This window comes from Homo sapiens, chromosome 4 (genome assembly GCF_000001405.40).
Source record: "Homo sapiens chromosome 4, GRCh38.p14 Primary Assembly".
Lineage (NCBI taxonomy): Eukaryota > Metazoa > Chordata > Mammalia > Primates > Hominidae > Homo > Homo sapiens.
In genome coordinates, this window is record NC_000004.12 from 92,816,066 (window position 1) to 92,836,939 (window position 20,874).

At 35.1% G+C, this 20,874-nt stretch overlaps 1 protein-coding gene and 1 pseudogene across 11 annotated transcripts in view; one reads left to right on the forward strand and one right to left on the reverse strand.

The window, feature by feature from the left end:
* GRID2 (glutamate ionotropic receptor delta type subunit 2) overlaps nt 1-20,874 on the forward strand; it is a 1,506,491-nt gene that overhangs the window by 512,100 nt on the left and 973,517 nt on the right. For 6 of the 11 annotated variants that reach the window (XM_017008120.3, XM_047450132.1, XM_011531893.3 and 3 more), the window contains exon 1: nt 267-6,957. The exons of the other annotated variants lie outside the window; for them this stretch is intronic. In XM_017008120.3, the coding sequence (XP_016863609.1) occupies nt 6,678-6,957 (280 nt within the window). In that variant the 5' untranslated portion in view covers nt 267-6,677. Of the gene's footprint in view, nt 1-266; nt 6,958-20,874 lie in introns of those variants that run through there. 11 annotated transcript variants of the gene reach the window in all.
* On the reverse strand, nt 5,901-6,948 carry RACK1P3 (RACK1 pseudogene 3; annotated as a pseudogene).

The following is a 20,874-nucleotide window of genomic DNA, read 5'->3' on the forward strand; positions in this document are numbered from 1 at the left end:
AGCACTTTGGGAGGCCAAGGCAGGTGGATCACCTGAGGTCCGGAGTTCGAGATCAGCCTAGGCAACATGGTGAAACCCCATCTCTACCAAAAATACAAAATTAGCCGGGTGTGGTGGCACATGCGTGCAATCCCAGCTACTCGGGAGGCTGAGGCAGGAGAATCACTTGAACCTGGGAGGCGGAGTATGTGGTGAGCTGAAATCGCACCATTGCACTCCAGTCTGGGCAACAAGAGTAAATCTCTGTCTCACCAAAAAAAAAAAAAAAAAAAAAAAGTACATTTTACTAAAGATGTACCTTAACCCATTTATGCCGAATGTACTTTAACCCATTTGTCTTCAAATTTATTCACATTAAAACCTTATTATTGCTCATACATTAATGCATGTTTCCTTGTTTTCAGGTTTATGTATACTGATTGTCTGTTATATAGCCAGGCAAAATAAATGTCAGAGTTTGGTAAAGGTTTCCACAAGGAGAAGGGAGGAGTGTTTGCAAATGAAGGTTAAATATGCTAAAATTACAAAAATTACAAATATCTTAAGTATTTTCTAAGAAATGATGCGTAAATATTTGCTACTAAAAGAGTTCTGGCATTTGATTCATGTGGTCTAGATTCAAATTCTACCTTTTCATTCACTGTTTAAAGTTTACATAACTCTTCTGGAAAATGGGGATTCTAATAGTACTAGTTTATGAAAGAGTTTTTGTGGATTTAGTAAAAGATTAAACTCATTAACAACTTACAAAGCTCTGCTGTATTGAAAATTGAGGAGAAATAACTTTACAATAAATAAAAACTGTTAAATTTAAAAACAGGGATATAGTGTGCATGTATCTGCAATTCTTCTCTCTCTTCTAAGGTTTACTTTGTACATAACTACCTAGCTGCCCTTCATGTAACTTAGAACTTCATCTACTATCTTTAAAATCTAGTCCCATGTTTTAACCATCTTGGATGGTTAAAACCTTCAATGACCTTCACCTAGTTACACAATTCAGGGACCCAGGAGTCACCATTAACCCTACACTACTCACATTCACATCCAGCTGGCCACTAAGTCATGTTCAATCTGTCTTTTAAAATTCAATTTAGTATGTTTCCTTCCTCATATTCACCCTTAAAATTTTCTTTAACTGTAAATACCAGCAATTCTATATATTTTTTTCTTATTTGGCTTAATTCATTTAGTTTTTCACTGCATTTTATCCCCGCTTTTATCAGCTACATTGCTGTGGGTTTAAAAAATTATAATTGGATCATATTATTCCTCTCTACAAAACTTTTAATACCATTCTCTCCATACACCTTACTCCTATTTTCTTCAGGATAAAGTTTGTACTTATCCTAGATGACATTACTTTATCCATAGGATGACCTTACCAAAACCTTTAAGTTCTAGTCTTAACCTACCTGTCTAGCCATATCTCTCATAAGGCCATATCTCCTCATAAATATCTAATGCTTAATTTTATGAGAATTGCTGACAATTCCTTGAGATTGTTTTTATGCTTCCTTATTTTTTCAAATCTTATATTTTATCTGGAATGCCATTATAATAATGTTTAATTGATTTGTATCAAAACTACTGGGATTTGTTGATGGCTTCTTGCCTTATGTTGTTAGATATTTGGCTTTTTTTTTTTGGAGAGATGGTGTCTCACTATATTGCCCATGCTAGTCTCAAACTCCTTGGCCCAAGTGATCCTCTCCCTTGGCCTCTCAAAGTGTTGAGATTATAGGTGTGAGCCCTTGCGTCCAGCCTTGCCAATTTTTTTACACATATTATTTAATGTAAGTTCTATGGCAATTTAGTGAGGAAACAGATACAGAGGAGTTTTATTTCATGTCCAAGTTTACAGAATTATAAGTGGTAGAGTCAGGCCAATGCTATGTTTGCCGCTAAAAACTATGTTATCCAAAAGATGCTGCAAAACTGACCTCAATCATATTCATGTGTGTGAAACCTTTTGTGACACATCTACATATGAGATATTGATGATCATGTTGTCTTTTATGTTATCACTATATCCACAACTGTTTCTGTTATCTCAGGTGTCACATTATCTCAGGTGTCACACTAAACTTCAACTGTGAACTTTATGTCTGTTATTCCCACTTAATTATAAACTGATAAGCAGAATAACAGTATTTTAAAAATCATAACCTCTTGCCCAGTGTATATTTCTCAATAAATTACATTTGAATGAATGAATGAATAATACAGATTCCTTCTTTTTTTTGTATTCAACTTCACCCATACAAGAGAGACTAAAAGTGTCATTAGCTATTATCTTTGTATTCAGGAAACATTAAAAAAGAAAAATGGCATTTGAGATGGGTGTTGAAAGATAATGATGGAGAATTTTGACAGGTGGAGGTAGAATGAGAAAAGGCATTACCAACGAAGGCCCAACTTAATAAGAGCTATTTTGCCTATACTAATGGACAGTTAACAGTCTGATTTGGTGTATTGCTTGGAAATGATCTTGCTCGCAAACTTATTAGCTGTTCAATTTAGTTTTAAGTAAATGGGCAAGTGGCAAATATATGAGGAAGTCAGAAGAACCTTTCTTATATTAACTTGATGAGTCGCTATACCATTGAAATCTCTTACCTCACCCAGAGCAGCCCCTCTGGAAGTGCTCTTTCATACTTCATGTCTCTTCTGGGTGTGTGAGGCAAACATGAAGTTTATATCAGACACATATGAATATACTCAATGAATTTCTGCCTATGGACAACTACCCTTTTGCAATACTTACTTGAAGCATGTTTTCTACATGAATAATATCTTGAAGCCCAAATTATATAATTGTATCTGTAATTTATCTGCTTGATATACCCTTCACAATAATTCTATAGCATATAATTTTTCTCATTTTTAAATATTTATGAAGAAGCTTATGTTGCAAGAGCTTCATTCTCACTGTATATACCTGAATGCTGTGATAGGTTAGTAATGGGCACTGAATCAGAACTATTTATTTCTGTCCTACACCAAAGCCCTTGTTTTATAAACTAGGCAACTTTACTCCCAGCATGAGCATGAGCATGAGCAAATGTTACGGCAATAGGAAAGCATAGTATCATTCAAAGAATTATCTAGAAAGTGGATAATTTTGGCCAAATCTGAGATTCTCAGTGCTGTTTATACATCACAATCACCCATGGGAGGTTTTAAAACTTAGGCTCAGACATCATCACAAATCTCCACCACAGACAAATTCAACCCCAATTGCTGAGAGAGGGGTCCTGGCATCAGAAGTTTTTAAGCTCCTGAGTGATTCCAATGTGCAGCCAGTACTGAGAACCACTGGACTAAAATGAAGGGCACATGTATGGGGGCGGCATGAAGAGTGAATAGGGTTTAAAAAGGAATATTAGAATCACATGGGCAGGATAAAACCCAAACAGCCTCACTCAGTAACTATGTGATCTTGGGCTAGTTACTAAACTTCTTGAAATCTCTATTTTCCTGTAAGATGGGGATAAACTAAAGCATGTAAAATACTTAGTATTTGGAGTCAGTTTAATTAATGGTCATTCTTACTATTTAAAAAAAATAAATTTGAAAAATGATAATAGGACTATGTTGTGGAAATATTTGACTACCAACTGCAGGAAAGGATATTACTACGACAGCATAGGTGACAAAAACAAATTAGAGATATATTTTTTGCTCAGATGCTTAAAATATTTTTTTTCTTTTCATATCTTGTTTGCAGTTAAGTAATCTTTGGTATTAAGCAGTTTTAATTGCAATAAGCTTATAAATTATTAGTACTCCATAATGAAGAGAAATGATAAAAGTCTGTCTTGTTTTGATAATATATGAATAATAGTGAGAATTATAATGTGCTTTCTTTTACTAAGCATCAGATATTTTTCAGATGAATAGAATTTCGATGAGTTAACTACCAATTGCGTAGTACCATTTACAATCTCATTTTTGAAAGACACTGTCTTGAAACAATCTAGAACTGACAAATGACAACATAAGATACTCTGCTTTGCATATTAAAGACTTTCACATTCACTTCTCATTTGGTTCTGCCCACAGCCCTGAGACATGGGAATTAATGAGTTTTATAAAGTTTATTGGTTTTTAGGGGAGAGGGCTATGACAAGAATCCTTCCCTTCTAACTTTGAATGTAATGCTTCTTTTATGACACACATACTTATTTGGAATATGTTGAAAGTCTAGAAACTAAGAATTAATATGTAGGCAAAAGGACCAGTGCAATGCTGTGAACTCGATGTGAGTAGATCTTAGGGATTCTAAAGGGCACTCTAATGCCTTTAGATTTAAGCTGAAAGTCAGAGAAACAGTTAAGATAGCAGAAACCTAAAAATTCTCAAAATATCAAACAGGCAGAGTTAACTCTACCAAAGTCAGAATGACTCAAAACACTGTTAGCAGCAAATGAAAACAAAGAAAGAAAACAGCACTATGCAACCTCTGGTTTGCTTATGGTACTTACTAGAAGTGAGTAGTCTTGGCTGCAATGAACTTTATAGAAAGTGTTTAGCTTAGAGAATGTCAGAATCCTATAAATACCCTGGAAATAGCGGGTGGCATAATGTCTTCTGCAGTCTCGTTTCAGCAGATAAACTTCTTCAGTTCTATTTAGAATGCATTTTTTGTACTACGGTTGATATTTCAGGCAACAGTGATGTATATACAAGTATCTTCAACATTCTATTAATTTCAGGTTCAATTTTTACTGAAATCAATATCTATTAAAATTATCATGTTATAATTAATAATCTTAAATTGTACAAAATTCCTATTCTCTTGTATCTGTATAATATCAAATTAGATGTCTAAAAATCTAATCTGATTTTCAAATTAACAAAATAACCTAGAAGCAATACTATAATCATCTTCTCTAATATATATACTTAAGATAAAACAGCTAATTATAAACAACTTATACATGGAAGTATGCATAAATATTGTGATTTTTACTTAACACAGTGATAAAGAAATTGATACATTTAAATAACCATATATATAGCCAATTTGAAATTTAGGTATACTCCAAAAGTAGATATTTTGAATTGATATGTTTAACTGGCTTAATTCAACATAATTTAGGCCAGATATTTCATAAAATTGTGTTTATTTCTAAAGTAATGAGTGCTTCTTGTAAATAATTCCAATACAAAAATATGTGGAGCAAAATGCGACATTAAGAAGCACACCAAAATTAGGATGGTCAGCGCCTCTGGCAATGAGGGAATGGGATTAGAAGAGAGAACAAAATGGTTGACAACCTTATCTGTCATGCTTAATTTATTTCATAGATAAAGTTAAAATGATGAAATGTTTCTATTGATAATCATGGATTCTATGTAAGAATTTGTTACAGTATTTTTGTAGCTGTTTGTTTTTTTTAAGTTTCTCAAAAGTGTTTAAGATTTAAATTTGACCATATTACTAGGTAATTGATCTTGATTTCAGTTAATACCCTGGAGTTACATAAACAGAAATTTAAAATAATATTTTTGATTCTACAAGCATTCCACATTCATTAATGTAATACAAGAAAACCAGATCATTCTACTGTGATCAACTTACAAATTGTGTTGGAATCTGCCTGCATATAGCCCACCCCCTCAATAAGGCACCATAAAAGCTATTTTAAGTAATATTCTCTCAATCATAATAAAACACACATAGCAAGACCAAAAGGCAGTGATTCCTTTTTCCATTTCCAACTTGTCCTCAAGCTAAGCAGTCCGGCAACTCAAGCAAAAACTGTGTTTCATAATATGAACAGCCACTTAAATACTTTCTCCCCATCTCTTTATGTTTCACTGCTGGGGAAGTTAATAATGATTAAAGTAGGAAGATTTTTTGTTTTAAATCAGAAAGTCAGTTGAAAGAAACCTAAAGTTCTGCCATAAATATCTAGCAGGTGCTGATGGCCACCTGCCACACTTGCACCAGATTGTCTATGTAGCCAGCAGTCTGGCCATCAGCAGACCAGAGAGGTGCAATGGGGAGTCTCTGCCTTGCTGCAGATTCCGATAACTTCTTGCTTAATTTCTATGGTGGTCTTGCCTTCTAAGTCCCAGATCTTGATGCTGAGGCCTGTGGTAGCGCAGAACCAGTAGCAGTTGAGGCTAAAGCACAGGGCATTGATGATATTCCCACCACATAGCATATCAAGGTGCTTGCCTTTGTTGAGATCGCATGGCATGGCATGGCATGGCCAGCATTGCCTCCAGAAGCACAGAGGGATCCATCTGGAGAGACAGTCACAGTGTTCAGATGGACTGTGTGGCCAAAGTGGTTCATCTTCAGCTTGCAGTTAGCCAGATTCCGTACCTTGACCAGCTTGTCCCAGCTACAGAGGTGATAGTGTTGCTGCCGTTAGGTGAGAAGTGGACATAAGACACCTACTCTGAGTGGCTCTCCACCTGGACAGTGTATTTGTATATACTCAGGGTTATAACCATAACTAGACGGTTTTATCTCAGGATCTAGAGACAATCTACAGGTTGTCAATGGAGAAGGCCACACTCAACACGTCCTTGGTATGGCCTACAGATCATCTCATAGTGGTGCCCTTTGTCAGATCCCAGAAGCACAGGTTTCCATCTCAGGAGGCTGAGAGGAAAAAGTGGCCACCTGAAGAGATGATTTTGTCATAGACAAAGTGGAAATGACCCTCCAGGGCATGCTGTGGGATGCCATAGTTGGTTTCGTCCCTGTTCAATGTCCACATGATGATGATTTTGTCTCAAGAGGTGGACTGTATCATGTCCAGGGCAGTAGCGATCTGGTTACTCAGGTATTGTGGCCTTCAAGAGTGTCACAAAGGGTCTTCTGCTCTGTCATGGTGGTGGTGAGGTCAGGTGTCACTGCAGCAACGAGGATGCCACTCAGAGAGACCAGAGGGACAAACACCACAGCCAGTCCTGCCACAGCCCTGCCACAAAAAAGTAAGCCAAGCAGGGAAATTTTAATACATGAAAAATACAAAATATAGGCATAGGATGGAATAGTTTCACTAATTTAGAGTCTATGTGAAGGGCAATATTGGAGAAGGTAATTATGTACAAAAGTATCTTGGAGCTGGTTGAATTGTTTGCCCTTTGCCCTTTATGAGTCACATATATATGGAGAAAAGAAGTTGTCTATTGCCAATTGGTACAAGGATTAAAATTAGGAACTATGAACATTTCATGGCAGAATTTTTGACAATATATAAGTAATGAAAAAAGCAGCCTTTTATATTTAAAATATACAGAGCTTATCTCTTATTTGCTGCCAATCCCTAGCACCCTGTACAAGATTGATCTATTGATATTTGCTAAATTTGTTAAAGGACATTAATAACTTATTGAATCCGTAATAGGTGACATGAGAGAAATCAGCTCAGGGAAGCAAATTATGCTGTCTATAGTCACACAGATAGAAAGGTTGGAACCTGGATGGCAACACGGGTCTGTTTGACTAGAAAACTCCAATCCATCTTCTTGTCAACTGAATAGTATTTATATTTATTAGAAACAATCACTGAAAAGTTCTAGATTAAAAATGTATCTAGATCATTGCACAATAAAAAAAATCTTACATCTTCCTTAAGTTATGATTAATTTTAGTGTGTCAGTAATAAGATAAATTAGTTGTTTGGTAAAGAGGTGCTAATCTGATAAACTCTGAAATTCCTTCTAAGCCCTTTTGTTTATTTATCTTACCATGGATACAAAAATGGCCACAAAATAAAAGAAGGATGTGACTATTTTCCTAGGAGTGTGCATTGTCCACCCCAGTGCCTGACAGGTCGAACTGTTTGTGATGACTCCAGAATACTCTGAATCCCATCAGTAATTCCTTCCAGTGTTGACAATGAAATTTAGAATAGGGACTGGTGGTAGTAGGAACAGGGATGGTGTCTATGGGGTTGCCTAATAACTAATATTATGGATAATATCTAATACAAAGGGACCTTCAATCTGGCTGGTAGTTCAGGGGAGATAGGATGAAGTGAAACATCTCTGAAATGTCTGAGCTAGATAATGAAGGTTAGGCCAGGTGAACAGGAATGTTAGGAGTTTGACCTGTAGGCTAAGAAAGACGTAGATAAAGGCATTTTTGCCTGCTTAGGCTGAGGTTCTCTTCCTTTATAAATAGAATCCATAAAATATCATTAGGTTCTTATATTTGTTGGAGGTTATTAAAATTTATCATTACTTGTGTATTTGAAAAATATATGATCTTTTTATTATCTCCAAATGTTTAAGTCTCTGCTGTGTAGTAGCTATGATTTTTTTCCCCATTTCTTTTGTTTGTTTGTTTCTAGCAGTTTTTGCCAGCTATTCCCTGCTACCTGTGACACCCTTTTTTGCTAAGAAAATACTTCTGTCTTGGGTGCTAGTTTCATGGCTAGGGTTTTATATTCTCAAAAGAATAAATTAATTATTAACATATGTTTCTGAAAATAAACTTTTATTATTTATTTCAAAATTTAATAACAGTTGAAAGCCATTAATTGCTCTTTTAAAAAACTAAAGAAAATTATAATTATCAGACCCACCTCAAAGCTCTGCCTTTGTCTCTTATCAGTCCATTCCCCTTGCATTTATGTGTAACAAGTTTACTCTTTTAGTTTATGTTAATTGCTGATATGTCTACTCATAAACTACTGTATAAATAATATTAAGAATTTGGATTGACTAAGAAATTAACTTTAAATTGCCTCTATAAACATTAAACTTTACCTTTAGATATTGTTTTTTAGGAAAACCCATGAAGTGCTCCTTTGTAATTAATAAAATAATCAAAATAGGTTGTTAGAAAAACTATTAAACACATTGATGCTATAGCAATAATGACATGATAACCAGATAAATATATGAAAGTTTATAATCCACAATTTATTTTTCATATCCACAAATTTCTTAAAAAAAAGGTATTAACATGTATCCCAGAACTTAAAGTATAATTAAAAATACATAAAATTTTTTTTAAAAGTACTAACATATATCTGCCCATTTAAGAAATATTTCCATGACAGACACTTAGATACTTTGCAAACAATCGTCCACCTCTTCTTCTGATTTAGTTCATGTATTATGCCCAGGGATGAAAAACCAGTAGTAAACCAGGGTACAACTAGCCTAAAGAGAACCTTTGCGCAAATTACAATAAAAAATCATCCTATGAACTCAAGGATGATGAACAGAAAAAAATTCACCTTCCATTGGGGCTCGCAGTCTGTTGAGAAGAATCCAGACTGAACTTCAGCCCCTACTAAAACTCTTGGCCAGGTACCAAGTTACATGAACATAAGCAGCAGCTCTGCTTATCAGTTGTGCTATGGCACCGAGGAGGGTTACAAACATGCTGAGACATTGATTCTTCAGCTGTCATGACAGCGAAGTGAGTCTTAACATGGCCAAATGCCATAAACAGAACACCTCCAGGCTTCTGCAGTCTTGTCTGTTTGCTCTAACATCTCATACCTCTATCATTATTTGCTATGTGACATGACACATAGCAAGGCTAAAACCAGTCTTGGTCATACTGTTCCCATTCACATATGGGTATTTAAAGGTGGATATTTTAGTAAGCTAGGTTGCATATTATTCCCATATAAATGAGAGCCACCTCCGCCCCCAACAGAAACCATGTTGTCAAAATAGCATGTAATGCAAGGAGCCAAGGCAGCCCATATGCAGGCCTGAAGGAATGTTCAATAGACACCTGGACATTGTGCCATCAGCAAAAAAGGAAACAGCCTTCATGTTCTTAGCAACACTGGGGAACTACTTAATTCATTTTCTGGAGCCCATGTTAGGAGAAATATTAAATGTCCTAACTGCTTAAGCCACTTTTGGTTTGATATATTGCTACTTGTAGCTGAAAGTATCCTGAGTGTTCCAACTTGGCACTCCTTCAGTGAGTACTCAGTACAGCAGCCAGAGTGATCCTGTTAAAACACAAGTGGCATCTTGTCACCCTTCTGCTCAAAATTCTCAGTAGTTTTCTCTTTCATTCAGAGTAAATGCCAAAGTCCTTTTTCAGAGCTAGAAATCCTATGTAATCTGCCCTTGCTCTGTCTCCTCCTTTCCTCCTACCTTCTCTGAACTCATTCCTACTTATTTCTCTTTGTCCATTTTATTTAAACAGACAAGGTATGCATCCAACTTAGGGTCTTTGCACTTGCTATCCTCTGCCTTGAAAACTCTTCCCTGATAGCTTCATGGATTGATTCCTAAGACTCTTTTGCTCTTTACATTAATCTTCCTCTCTCATTGAGGCTTTTCCTGGATGCACCATCTAATGACGTTCCAACCAGCAATCCCTAACACACCATATTTTCTATCTTCCTTCCTGCTCTATATTTGTCCATAGTACTTCTGTATAACATGTTTCAGTTTTTAATTAATTATCTCATTTGTGGTCTGTTATTCCCACTGGAGTGTAAGTTCCAAAAAGAAGTGATTTTTGCCAGTTTTGTTCCATACTGCATGTCCAGTATCCATAATAGTACCTAGGACTCAGAAGGCTCTTGATAGATATTTGTCAAATGCATGAATCATAGCAGTTAAGCTTACTAGACTACTTGCATTACATTATTCTAGCTTTGAATGTGACAATTTATAATTATCTGTATAAGATAACCAACATATTTAAATTAATTTAGTACTTTTGTACAAAACCTTATATTGATTTGCAAATCAGCTGATTTAAAATGTCAAGTATTACAACATGAGTTTTTCATATAACAATTAGAAAGACTTAGGCAATCTGATTTTATAGACTGGTAATTGGTTTGATTGATCTAATGTTATTTCCTTTATATCCAAGTGTTCTCATGGTGTGGCCTTGGGATACTATCAGTTCATTGAGAAGAGTTCATTGATATGTTTCAGGTTCCATATTCTAACTGAGATAGGAGTTTTTATGTTTCATCAAAAATATCCAAAATTTTATGGGAAGGCTATTGAAATACACTTCTCCCCTCCAGTTACATTCCTGTATAAAGCTGGGCCTTCCTCATATTTCAATTCATGTTTCTTAACAAATTGAGTAGAAAATCAGATAAAAGAATCCACTTATCCTCTATTAAGTCAAATACCAAGGGATTTGCAAGTGTTAGGCAATTAAACTATTCTATTTTATTTAAAACCATTTATATTTATCCAAAAAATATTTGTTAGTTATATTAACGTTTAATGAATGAAAAAGCATATATATTGGAAATTATCAGGTTAATTTTGGGTGCAATAAACATCAACAGGTATAATCCACATAAACAAAAACTCTTTGGAAAACTCAATACTTTTTAGCAATGTAAAGGGATCCTGAGATTTAAAAAAAAAAAAAAAAAGGAGGGAGTCAATTTTTGTTACTATGTCCCTTCTGTCTTTATTTGTTAAAACATTTATGTGTTTAACACCTCCCAGCCCCGTCAAGACCCGATATTCTACCATCCTGGTAGTATCTTCACACTACTGGGTTTTGTTTAAATGCTAAGTAGCTTTTAATCATATTATCTTAAATATGATTTTTTTCTCCAGCCAAGACACCAATATTTCAGAGAAGCCATTTCATGGCAGTGACTCACACTTAATTGTTGCATCTGATGCCCTTAAGAGGGTACAAAGCAGTGTAAATGCTCAACGAATAAAAAAATGAATTAATGAATGAATGATATATGAAGAGATGGATATAAGCACTTTCCTTTTAGCTAAAATAAATCTAGTTTGCTATTTTATGTTTCAAATTATTTAACATAGAGCTTGTTATATTGCTGACAGTTTTCTTTCTTTTTTAAACTTGCAGGAATATGCTGTCAAGTCATTTGTTTGGTATGAATCTATAGCTAAGTAACCAATTTTGATAGTTAACTTGATAGTTAATGTTGAGAATGTCAAAATATATCTCCACAAATGATCAGATTAATAGATATGTAAGAATTCCTATTGCAGATTCAGTTTCAGGAACTTCCTGCTAGGCTTTCTTGACTTCAATCTCCAACTAAAAAGTCTGAGAAACTGTATTCCCCTACAACTCCTCAAGTAATTGGTAATATTGGTCAAGGATTGTTTCCTAAATAAAACCAAAGCCGATTACATTTGAGTTGCTAAAATCAAAATAGGACTATACTGATTTTAGTTCCCAGGTCCACTTTGACTCTTCTACCAGTCACTGGCAACCAAAGTTTATTAAGTTAAATTTATTCAGAATTCATAATGACTTTATTGTAGAAATCTGCGAATAGATTTGCACTTGATAGATAGACAAAAATTACCTTTGATAGAATTAGTAAATTAATAGTTTTAATTGGATTAGGTAGGGACTTAAGATGAAACTGCTTAACTTATTTAAGAAAACAACTTGGTCTAAGCAGTCTACTAGAGCACTTGTATAGAATAGTGTGCTAATTATGTGTTTCTTATCTCTTCATTAAGGTAGATTTGTCAGAATCATTCTTTGGCAACATTGTTTAATAATTGGTTTATATTGCTTTATAGCCCTGAAGAAAATAAATTCATATTTGGTTATAAATGCCCTACATTTCTGACTTTTAACTAATTACAGATGATAACTTCCTCACCCCAATTAACTCAATTAATGAAGTTTTACATTTTTTTCTTTTTCTCTTGTGTGATTTTGGTAATGTTAATCAACACTGAAAAACATTGTTTTTCAAAAATTTGCTAGCTTTTTTTATGCTCTGTTTTAGTACATGTTGAAACAGGTATAAGTAACTAAAAGAAGGCAAACAAGTGTCTGTACATATTCTTCACCCACTTTTTGATGGAGTTGTTTGTTTTTTTCTTGTAAATTTGTTTAAGTTCCTTGTAGCTTCTGGATATTAGACCTTTGTCAGATGGATAGATTGCAAAAATTTTCTCCCATCCTGTAGGTTGCCTGTTCACTCTGATGATAGTTTCTTTGGCTGTGCAGAAGCTCTTTAGTTTAATTAGATCCCATTTGTCAATTTTGGCTTTTGTTGCAATTGCTTTTGGTGTTTTAGTCATGAAGTCTTTGCCCATACCTATGTCCTGAATGGTGTTGTCTAGGTTTTCTTCTAGGGTTTTTATAGTTTTAGGTTTTACATTTAAGCCTTTAATCGATCTTGAGTTAATTTTTGTATAAGGTGTAAGGAAGGGATCCAGTTTTCTGTTTTCTGCATATGGCTAGCCAGTTTTCCCAGCACCATTTATTAAATAGGGAATCCTTTCGTCATTGCTTGTTTTTGTCAGAAGACATTTATTGGGCCAACACACATATGCAAAAAAGGTCATCATCACTGGTCATTGGAGAAATGCAAATCAAAACCACAACAGGATACCATCTCATGCCAGTTAGAATGGCAATCATTTAAAAGTCAGGAAACAACAGATGCTGGGGAGGTTATTGAGAAATAGGAACACCTTTACACTGTTGGTGGGAGTGTAAATTAGTTGAACCATTGTGGAAGGCAGTATGGCAATTTCTCAAGGATCTAGAACCAAATACCATTTGACCCAGCAATCCCATTATTGGGTATATACCCAAAGGATTATAAATCATTCTATAAAGACATATGCACACATATGTTTATTGCAGCACTATTTACAATTGCAAAGACTTGGAACCAACCCAAATGCCCATCAATGATAGACTGGACAAAGAAAATGTGGCACATATACACCATGGAATACTATGCAGGCATAAGAAAGAATGAGTTCATGTCCTTTGCAGGGACATGGATGAAGCTGGAAACCATCATTCTCAGCAAACTAACACAGCAATGGAAAACCAAACGCCACATGTTCTCACTGATAAGTTGGAGTTGAACAATAAGAACATATGGACACAAGGAGGGGAACATCACACACGAGGGCCTGTCAGGGGTGGGGACAAGGGGAGTGAGAGCATTAGTAGAGATACCTAATACATGTGGGGCTGAAAAGCTGGAAGATGGGTTAATAGGTACAGCAAACTACCGTGACACATATATACCTATGCAACAAATCTGAACATTCTACATATGTATTCCAGCGCTTAAAATAAAATTGAAAAAAAAAAAAGCAAAACTAGCACTGAGGAAACACCTAAAGCAATCCTGGGACTCATAAACACTCCCATATTTTCTAATATAATTCTCAAAACAGTGTCCAGTTATTTTAAGAACAGAAAATGAACTGAGGCTAAGAACAATAAATTATTTCTCCAAGATCATGCAGTAAGTAGGACAACTGGGATTTACATTGTTTTTTTTTTTTTTATTCTGAAAGACTCCTTATGTCTTACTTCAAAATATTTCTATGTTCTCTAAAAAGTGAACTGAGCTAAGCCTACGTTTTGTGGTGCATAAACCATACCAACATACCAACATCATTATGGCATTAATCATTCATTATGGTACCACTTTGCTTTATGTTCCAAGGCATTCACTGTCTTCTAGATATTTTTTATTTTATCATGAATAATTTTCCTTATTTAAGCATACTATTATTATTATTTTAGTACTAATAATTCAACTTTATCAAAACACATTTTTTATTTCTCATTTAAAAATATCTTTAAAGAGTCATAAGTTAAATAACTGTTCTCAGCACAGACTGCTATGGGCAGATGCCAAGAAATAAGTTCTGTTGAGTTTACTAAGAGATTCTTCATAGTTTTATTTTTTAAGTTGTTTTCTTTCTAATTTTATGGTTTTATTACACTCTTATTTAAACTAAAGCAAAAATACTTATTCTACCTAGGTCTACAGTCTTCATCACTTTAAGAGGAAAACAAAGCTATTCCATTTAAGTATCTGGGTATTGCAATAATTCATTGTGTAGTTACAGAACATATCATAGAGCAGTCATCTAACCCTTCTCTCAGACAGCCATTCAAGGCTGCCTATGTCTTTCTCAGGAGGAGATAGAATGGTTAAGCTGTCATTATCTTCTAGTGCCACTGAAAGGACAATAGTTTCAATGCCATATTGCCTGACATTTAAACTGATATACCTTGGGATATTGAGAAACAGAAGGGACTAGGGGAAGGAGAGAGCCAGTTTTTAAATTGTTACTATATAAGAAGATTCTAGGATTTTTTCCCACTCTGAATTTTAACTTGCATTCCATGTAACAAAAAATAGACCATGTAAAATGAATATCATCATTTTATGTCTATTCTTTTATATCACTGTGAAAGAAAGCAACAGAAATTTACCAAAGAACCAAAGGATTGTGAATGACTTTTCAGAATATGAGTGAGTATGCTTCACAGAAAACCAAAGAGCTGCTCCCCTAATTACAAATGGCTGGTCTGAGAGATGTCAAATGACAATGAGATTAAAAAGGTAATGTACAACTCAACAAAAACGTGAGCTAAATGATTGGAGATCCAGCTGTAGTATAAAGTTAAACACTTTTACTCTGTAGTCAGAGAAACCTGGATTCAAATGCCAATTTCGTTTTTTTTTTTTTTCAAACCTGCATGGCTTTGAGCAAGTTAACTGGCAGAAAGCTTATTTTCCTTATCTATAAAATGATTCCAGGCATGGTGGCTCATGCCTGTAATCCCAGTACTTTGGGAAGCTGGGGCAGGAGGATCATTTGAGCACTGGAATTTGTGAACAGCCTGGACAACGTAAGGAGATGCTGTCTCTACAAAAAATTAAAGTAAAGTTAGCTGGGGGTGGTGGTACATGCCTTAGTTAGTCCTAGCTACTTGAGAGGCTGAGAGAGGAGGATCACTTAAGCCATGGAGGTTGAGGCTGCAGTGAGCTGAGATCACGCCACTATACTCTAGACTGGGAGACAGAGCAAGACCCCATCTTGCTATATAAATAAATAAATTATACATCTATATAAATAAACCCCCCAAAATAAGAAAGTAAATAGAACATAACTGCTACCTACATCTTAACATGGCTCTGACGATTAATGATACAGTGCATAAAAGACTGTTTCAGCAATGATTAGTGTATAAAAAGGATGTAATAACTAGTAATATTGGCCACAAATTCTATTAATATGCTTTATATGTAAAGATATATAAAATAAGTAAGGTATTAAGAGAATACAAATATCAACTTATGAAAATAAAAAAAAGGAAAGATTAGTAAATAAAAATGAGACCGGGCATGGTGGCTCACTCCTGTAATCCCAGCACTTTATGAGGCCAAGGCGGGCTGATCACTTGAGGCCAGGAGTTGGAGACCAGCCTGGCCACCAAGATGAAACACGATCTTTACTAAAAATTAAAAAAATAAAAAATAAAATTAGCCAAATGTGGTGATACCTGCCTGTAATCCCAGCTACTTGGGAGGCTGAGGCAGGAGAATATCTTTTTTTGTTGTTTTTGTTTGTTTTGTTTTGTTTTGTTTTTTGAGACAGAGTTTCATTCTGTCACCCAGGCTGCAGTGCAGTGACGCAATCTTGGCTCACCGCAACCTCCGCCTCCCGGGTTCAAGCTATTCTTCTGCCTCAGCCTCCAGAGTACCTGGGATTACAGGCACCCGCCACCACGCCTGACTAATTTGTGTAATTTTAGTAGAGACGGGGTTTCACCATGTTGGCCAGGCTGGTCTCAAAATCCCGACCTCAGGTGATCCACCCACCTTGACCTCCCAAAGTGCTGGGATCACAAGGGTGAAGCACCACACCTGGCCAGAGAATCTCTTGAACCCAGGAGGTGGAGGTTGCAGTGAGCCGAGATCATGCCACTGCACTCCAGCCTGGACAACAGAGACTCTGTCACAATAATAATAATAATATAAAATAAAAATGAAATCTATTTAGTCCTGTTATTTGCCTGCACTTTTTCTCTATGCATCCAAGTGGATATAGTAATGAACTCACTTTTATCAATTACAGTATTCATAGTGTTCATAAGAAATAAGACGTTAATTAGGTCATAGGGAAAAGTCAGTATAAACTGACTTTAAAAGGTATATTGAAAGATATGGTAGATGTTATGTTTACAAAATCCCTAGAATAAATTTAATAAGGCATGTCCAACAGTTGTTTCTTAAAGTATATGCTAGTGCAAGCCAGAAGCATAGAGGTAATTCAACACAGCATGAACAATACTAACAGGAGCCACAGCAATGCAGGATAACTTTCCATAGCTCTTAATGATTGAGTTGAAGTCAAGGGCACGATGTAGACTGTCAACATACTTCCAGAGAAGCGGGGGAAGTCTGTAATAAAATCATCTGACATGGACTTTAAGTAGTTTTCCATAAATATTGGTTAATACAAGTCAGGTTGTGATAAAGAACAGTAGAGTCTAAAGTTATACAAGACTCTGGGATGTACTGACACATGTACTTCATCCATAAACCCCATCAAGGGCTGTCAAGAATGAGTATCTGTTCTTTCATCCAGTCATAACAGTGGCAATAATGTTAATAAACAATTCAGCAAATTACTTCATGTTGCCCTATAGCTCAGGAATGACACTTGATGATCTTTCTTTCTCTGTAGCAAATGACTTAAAATATTCTTATTCAGACAGAAGAAGTAATCATATATGCCCTACCTAACATGAGCAAGTTTTTACCATCACATAAACAGCTACAGATGAAGAATAAAAGGATAACCAATTCTAAAGGACTGCCATTATCTACCATACCCTAAAATATTGGATAAATTGAGAATGAAATTGTATTATGAATTTTTATTAATAGCATAGTGAAAGGATGAACTATTTTCAAAATCTTGGATGTTAAAAAGAATAGTTTTAGGCAGCAGCTTCCGCTGTTAGCTTATTGGTGGCTGTGGTAACAGGCTCCTGCATAGCACTGAGCCTCCTAGAATCTTCCTCCAGTTAATTTCCTGTGGGTGACGATCACTCCTGAGCCAACACCAGCACATTTTAACTTCTTCAGGAGCAGCCATCATGACATGGAAAACTAACTGCTTTTTTAAAGGATGTTTTCACAGATACCTGTTGAAATCAGATAGATTCATGTCAAATAAGTTAGGTCCCAAATTCGTTTTTTTAGCAGCATTGATTTGAAACTGTCAGTTATGATAGAGTAATATCTACTTAAAGTTGATTAAGAGAATATTTATTCCTTGTCGGTGTCAACTTAAAGGATTTCCCCTGAACCTTTATATTTATATTGCAATGTAAGAAACAAATGCTAGTACTGTGTCAAAAGCTATTGCCATTCCAATGAATATCATCAATATTTCCTTCAACAATATGGGAGGTTCTCTTTTGATTTTTATTTCATATATTTTCTTTTGTTTTGTCTAAGGAATTTCATTTCATATCTCAGGCAAAGATAATAAAACCATTTTTCACCATAAAGAGTTTAAATGTTTCTATTTTCATTTTGCTTTTTATTCATTTAAGCCTTATGTGTTGTTGTCATTTGGCATTATAACAGTGGAATATTGTCTATAGGTGATCTCCACATTCTAGCATAAAGATTAGTCCTTTTATGAGATGGAGAAATGAGGGATTCTGAATTTTTGTCGTTTAATCAGGCAGTATGCAAACGTCTTTTATGAGCCAAGCACTGCATTACTGGGGTATGGTAATGAATAAGACAGACACAGTTTATACCCTCAAGCAGCTTATACTGCATCAGAGAAGAGGTACATTAAGCAAATGGTTTTCAATAACTAAACACATTATTTCAAATGTAGAAAAGGCTTTAGATAACTACTTGGTTATAGGTAGGTTGGGAAGTACTAATATTTCTTTGTGTGATTTCTGGACACTGCATTTTTATCCTAATGAGGCCTGTAATACTTACTTAGGTCTGTGTGGTGTTTGTGATGGGGATGGAGAATAAGGGATGAGAAAGTGTGAAAAGACACGTGCAGAATGTTCTGGGAATGAGATTTAATAAAACACAGCTCTTGATAATGTATCAAGTGAAACTGCCCTGTTACTTCGCCTTGGAAATGTATGATGAGACCCTGTTTCCTCAATTCAGTTAGCATGGGTTGAATACCTACATAGTATCAGAAACTCTGTAATACAACAAAGATTGAAACAGCTTTACTTTTCTGAGAACTTATTTTAAATAAGTCAAAGAATCACAAAATTTTAATATGATATGGCAGTGCTCAATGGAAAGTAAAATTTACTGTAAGGAGACAAAACAAGGGTTGAGAATAATAAAAAATACAACAAGCAGCTGAAAGAGGTAAAAAAAAAAAAGGTAACAAATGAAGATGAGGTTGAGGGTAGGGAAAGTATCTCAAAGTGTCAAAACAAAGGTAGGAAGGAGGAAGATAATCTAAGCATTCTATGCATACATTAATTATTTTTGGAGGCTGCATAAGAGAATGAAGACATTGAATAATAAAGTCAGATAAGCTAAAAGTAGCTAGCAGTAGGTAGAGAGGCATGTAAGAATATTATAAAAATGTTTATAATTGTTTATATTATCTGTCTATCTAGTACAGAGGAAGTTCTGGTTCAGGAAATTCTACAGATAATGCTTATGCTGTTTCTCATACGTATGAGGCTGTACATTAGTTTTACCTACTGCCTTCTACATCAGAATTGCATGAGGTCCTGTTGACAAGGCAGATTTCATAGGCTGTAGCCTAATGCCAGACATAAGAAGAATTTTTAAAATGGGACCACCCCCCATGCCAGTTCTTACCCCCAGGTGATTCTGAAGCCACTAACATTTGAGAATAATTAGATAAAAGCCTGTGACAATTTCCTTCCCTACATTTCCTAAAATTTACATACACAAATGTATGCATACATATAAACCTTAAAAAATTGTTTTAATGGTAATGAGTGTATACACTCCCCTCCACACTTCGTATTGTCTTTCACTTTGTCCATATAACAGGAATCCCAATATATTGTGTCCAAATTTCCCTCTAGACAACTCCTTGACAGCAGATCACAGGCTTAATTTGATTGTGGAATACTTCTACGGTAGTTTCTGTATTTCTTGGTGTCAGAGACCCTTTATATTCTTAAAAAATATTGAGAACCAAAAGAGCTTTCATTTATATCAGAGGTCAGCAAACTGTAGCCTGCAAGTCAAATACAACCAGTATCTTCTTTTTGTAAATAGCTTTTTTTGGAACAGAGCTACTGCCATTTATTTTTGTATCATCTATAGCTGTTTTCTCACTGTAACGACAGAGTTGAGTAGTGACAGAGATCATACGGTTGGCCAAGCCTAAACTATTTACAATCTTGTCCTTTACAGAAAATGTTTGCTGGCTTCTGGTGTATGTGGATTATAGCTATTGATTTTTAGCACAGTGGAAACTAAAGCTGAAAAATTAAAATCAAGAAATATACTAGCACACATTCCATTAGCCATCAGAGCTAATGTTCAAAACTCCACTGTATAATCATGAATGAGAATGAAAAAGGCAAATAGCATCTTAGTATTATTAAGAAAATAGTTTTGACCTCATATGACAAGCTGAATGGATTTGATGAACACAGTTTGGGAACCACTTGGATGGTACATGGCAAATAGCAGCCGCTTAATACATATTTGAATGAATAAGTACTAACCAAAAAAAAACAGAAAATATTTGCATTGTTATATATTACAGTTTACAAATAATTTTCATGTCCATTTCTACTTTAGGAAAATGTAAGGAGGCAGAAATATCAAGGAAAAGGATTTTGGTGTAGGAGATATTAGAGCATGTAGGCTGAGTAGAAAGACGGCCCTAGCCTAGTAAACAGAATTAAAGACACACACACACACATAAATGTTAATTTAAAATAGACCATATAAATGCACTTAATTGACTTAGTTTAGTATTTGGTAAACCACATAGACTACAAAATAGTCCCATAGTAAAGGAAATATAATGTAATAATCTAATAGGTGGGGGAATAGAAGAGGAATCTTTGAAACAGCAAAGCACAGATCTGCTTCAAAAGAAAATCGAAAATCTTCAAGCGAA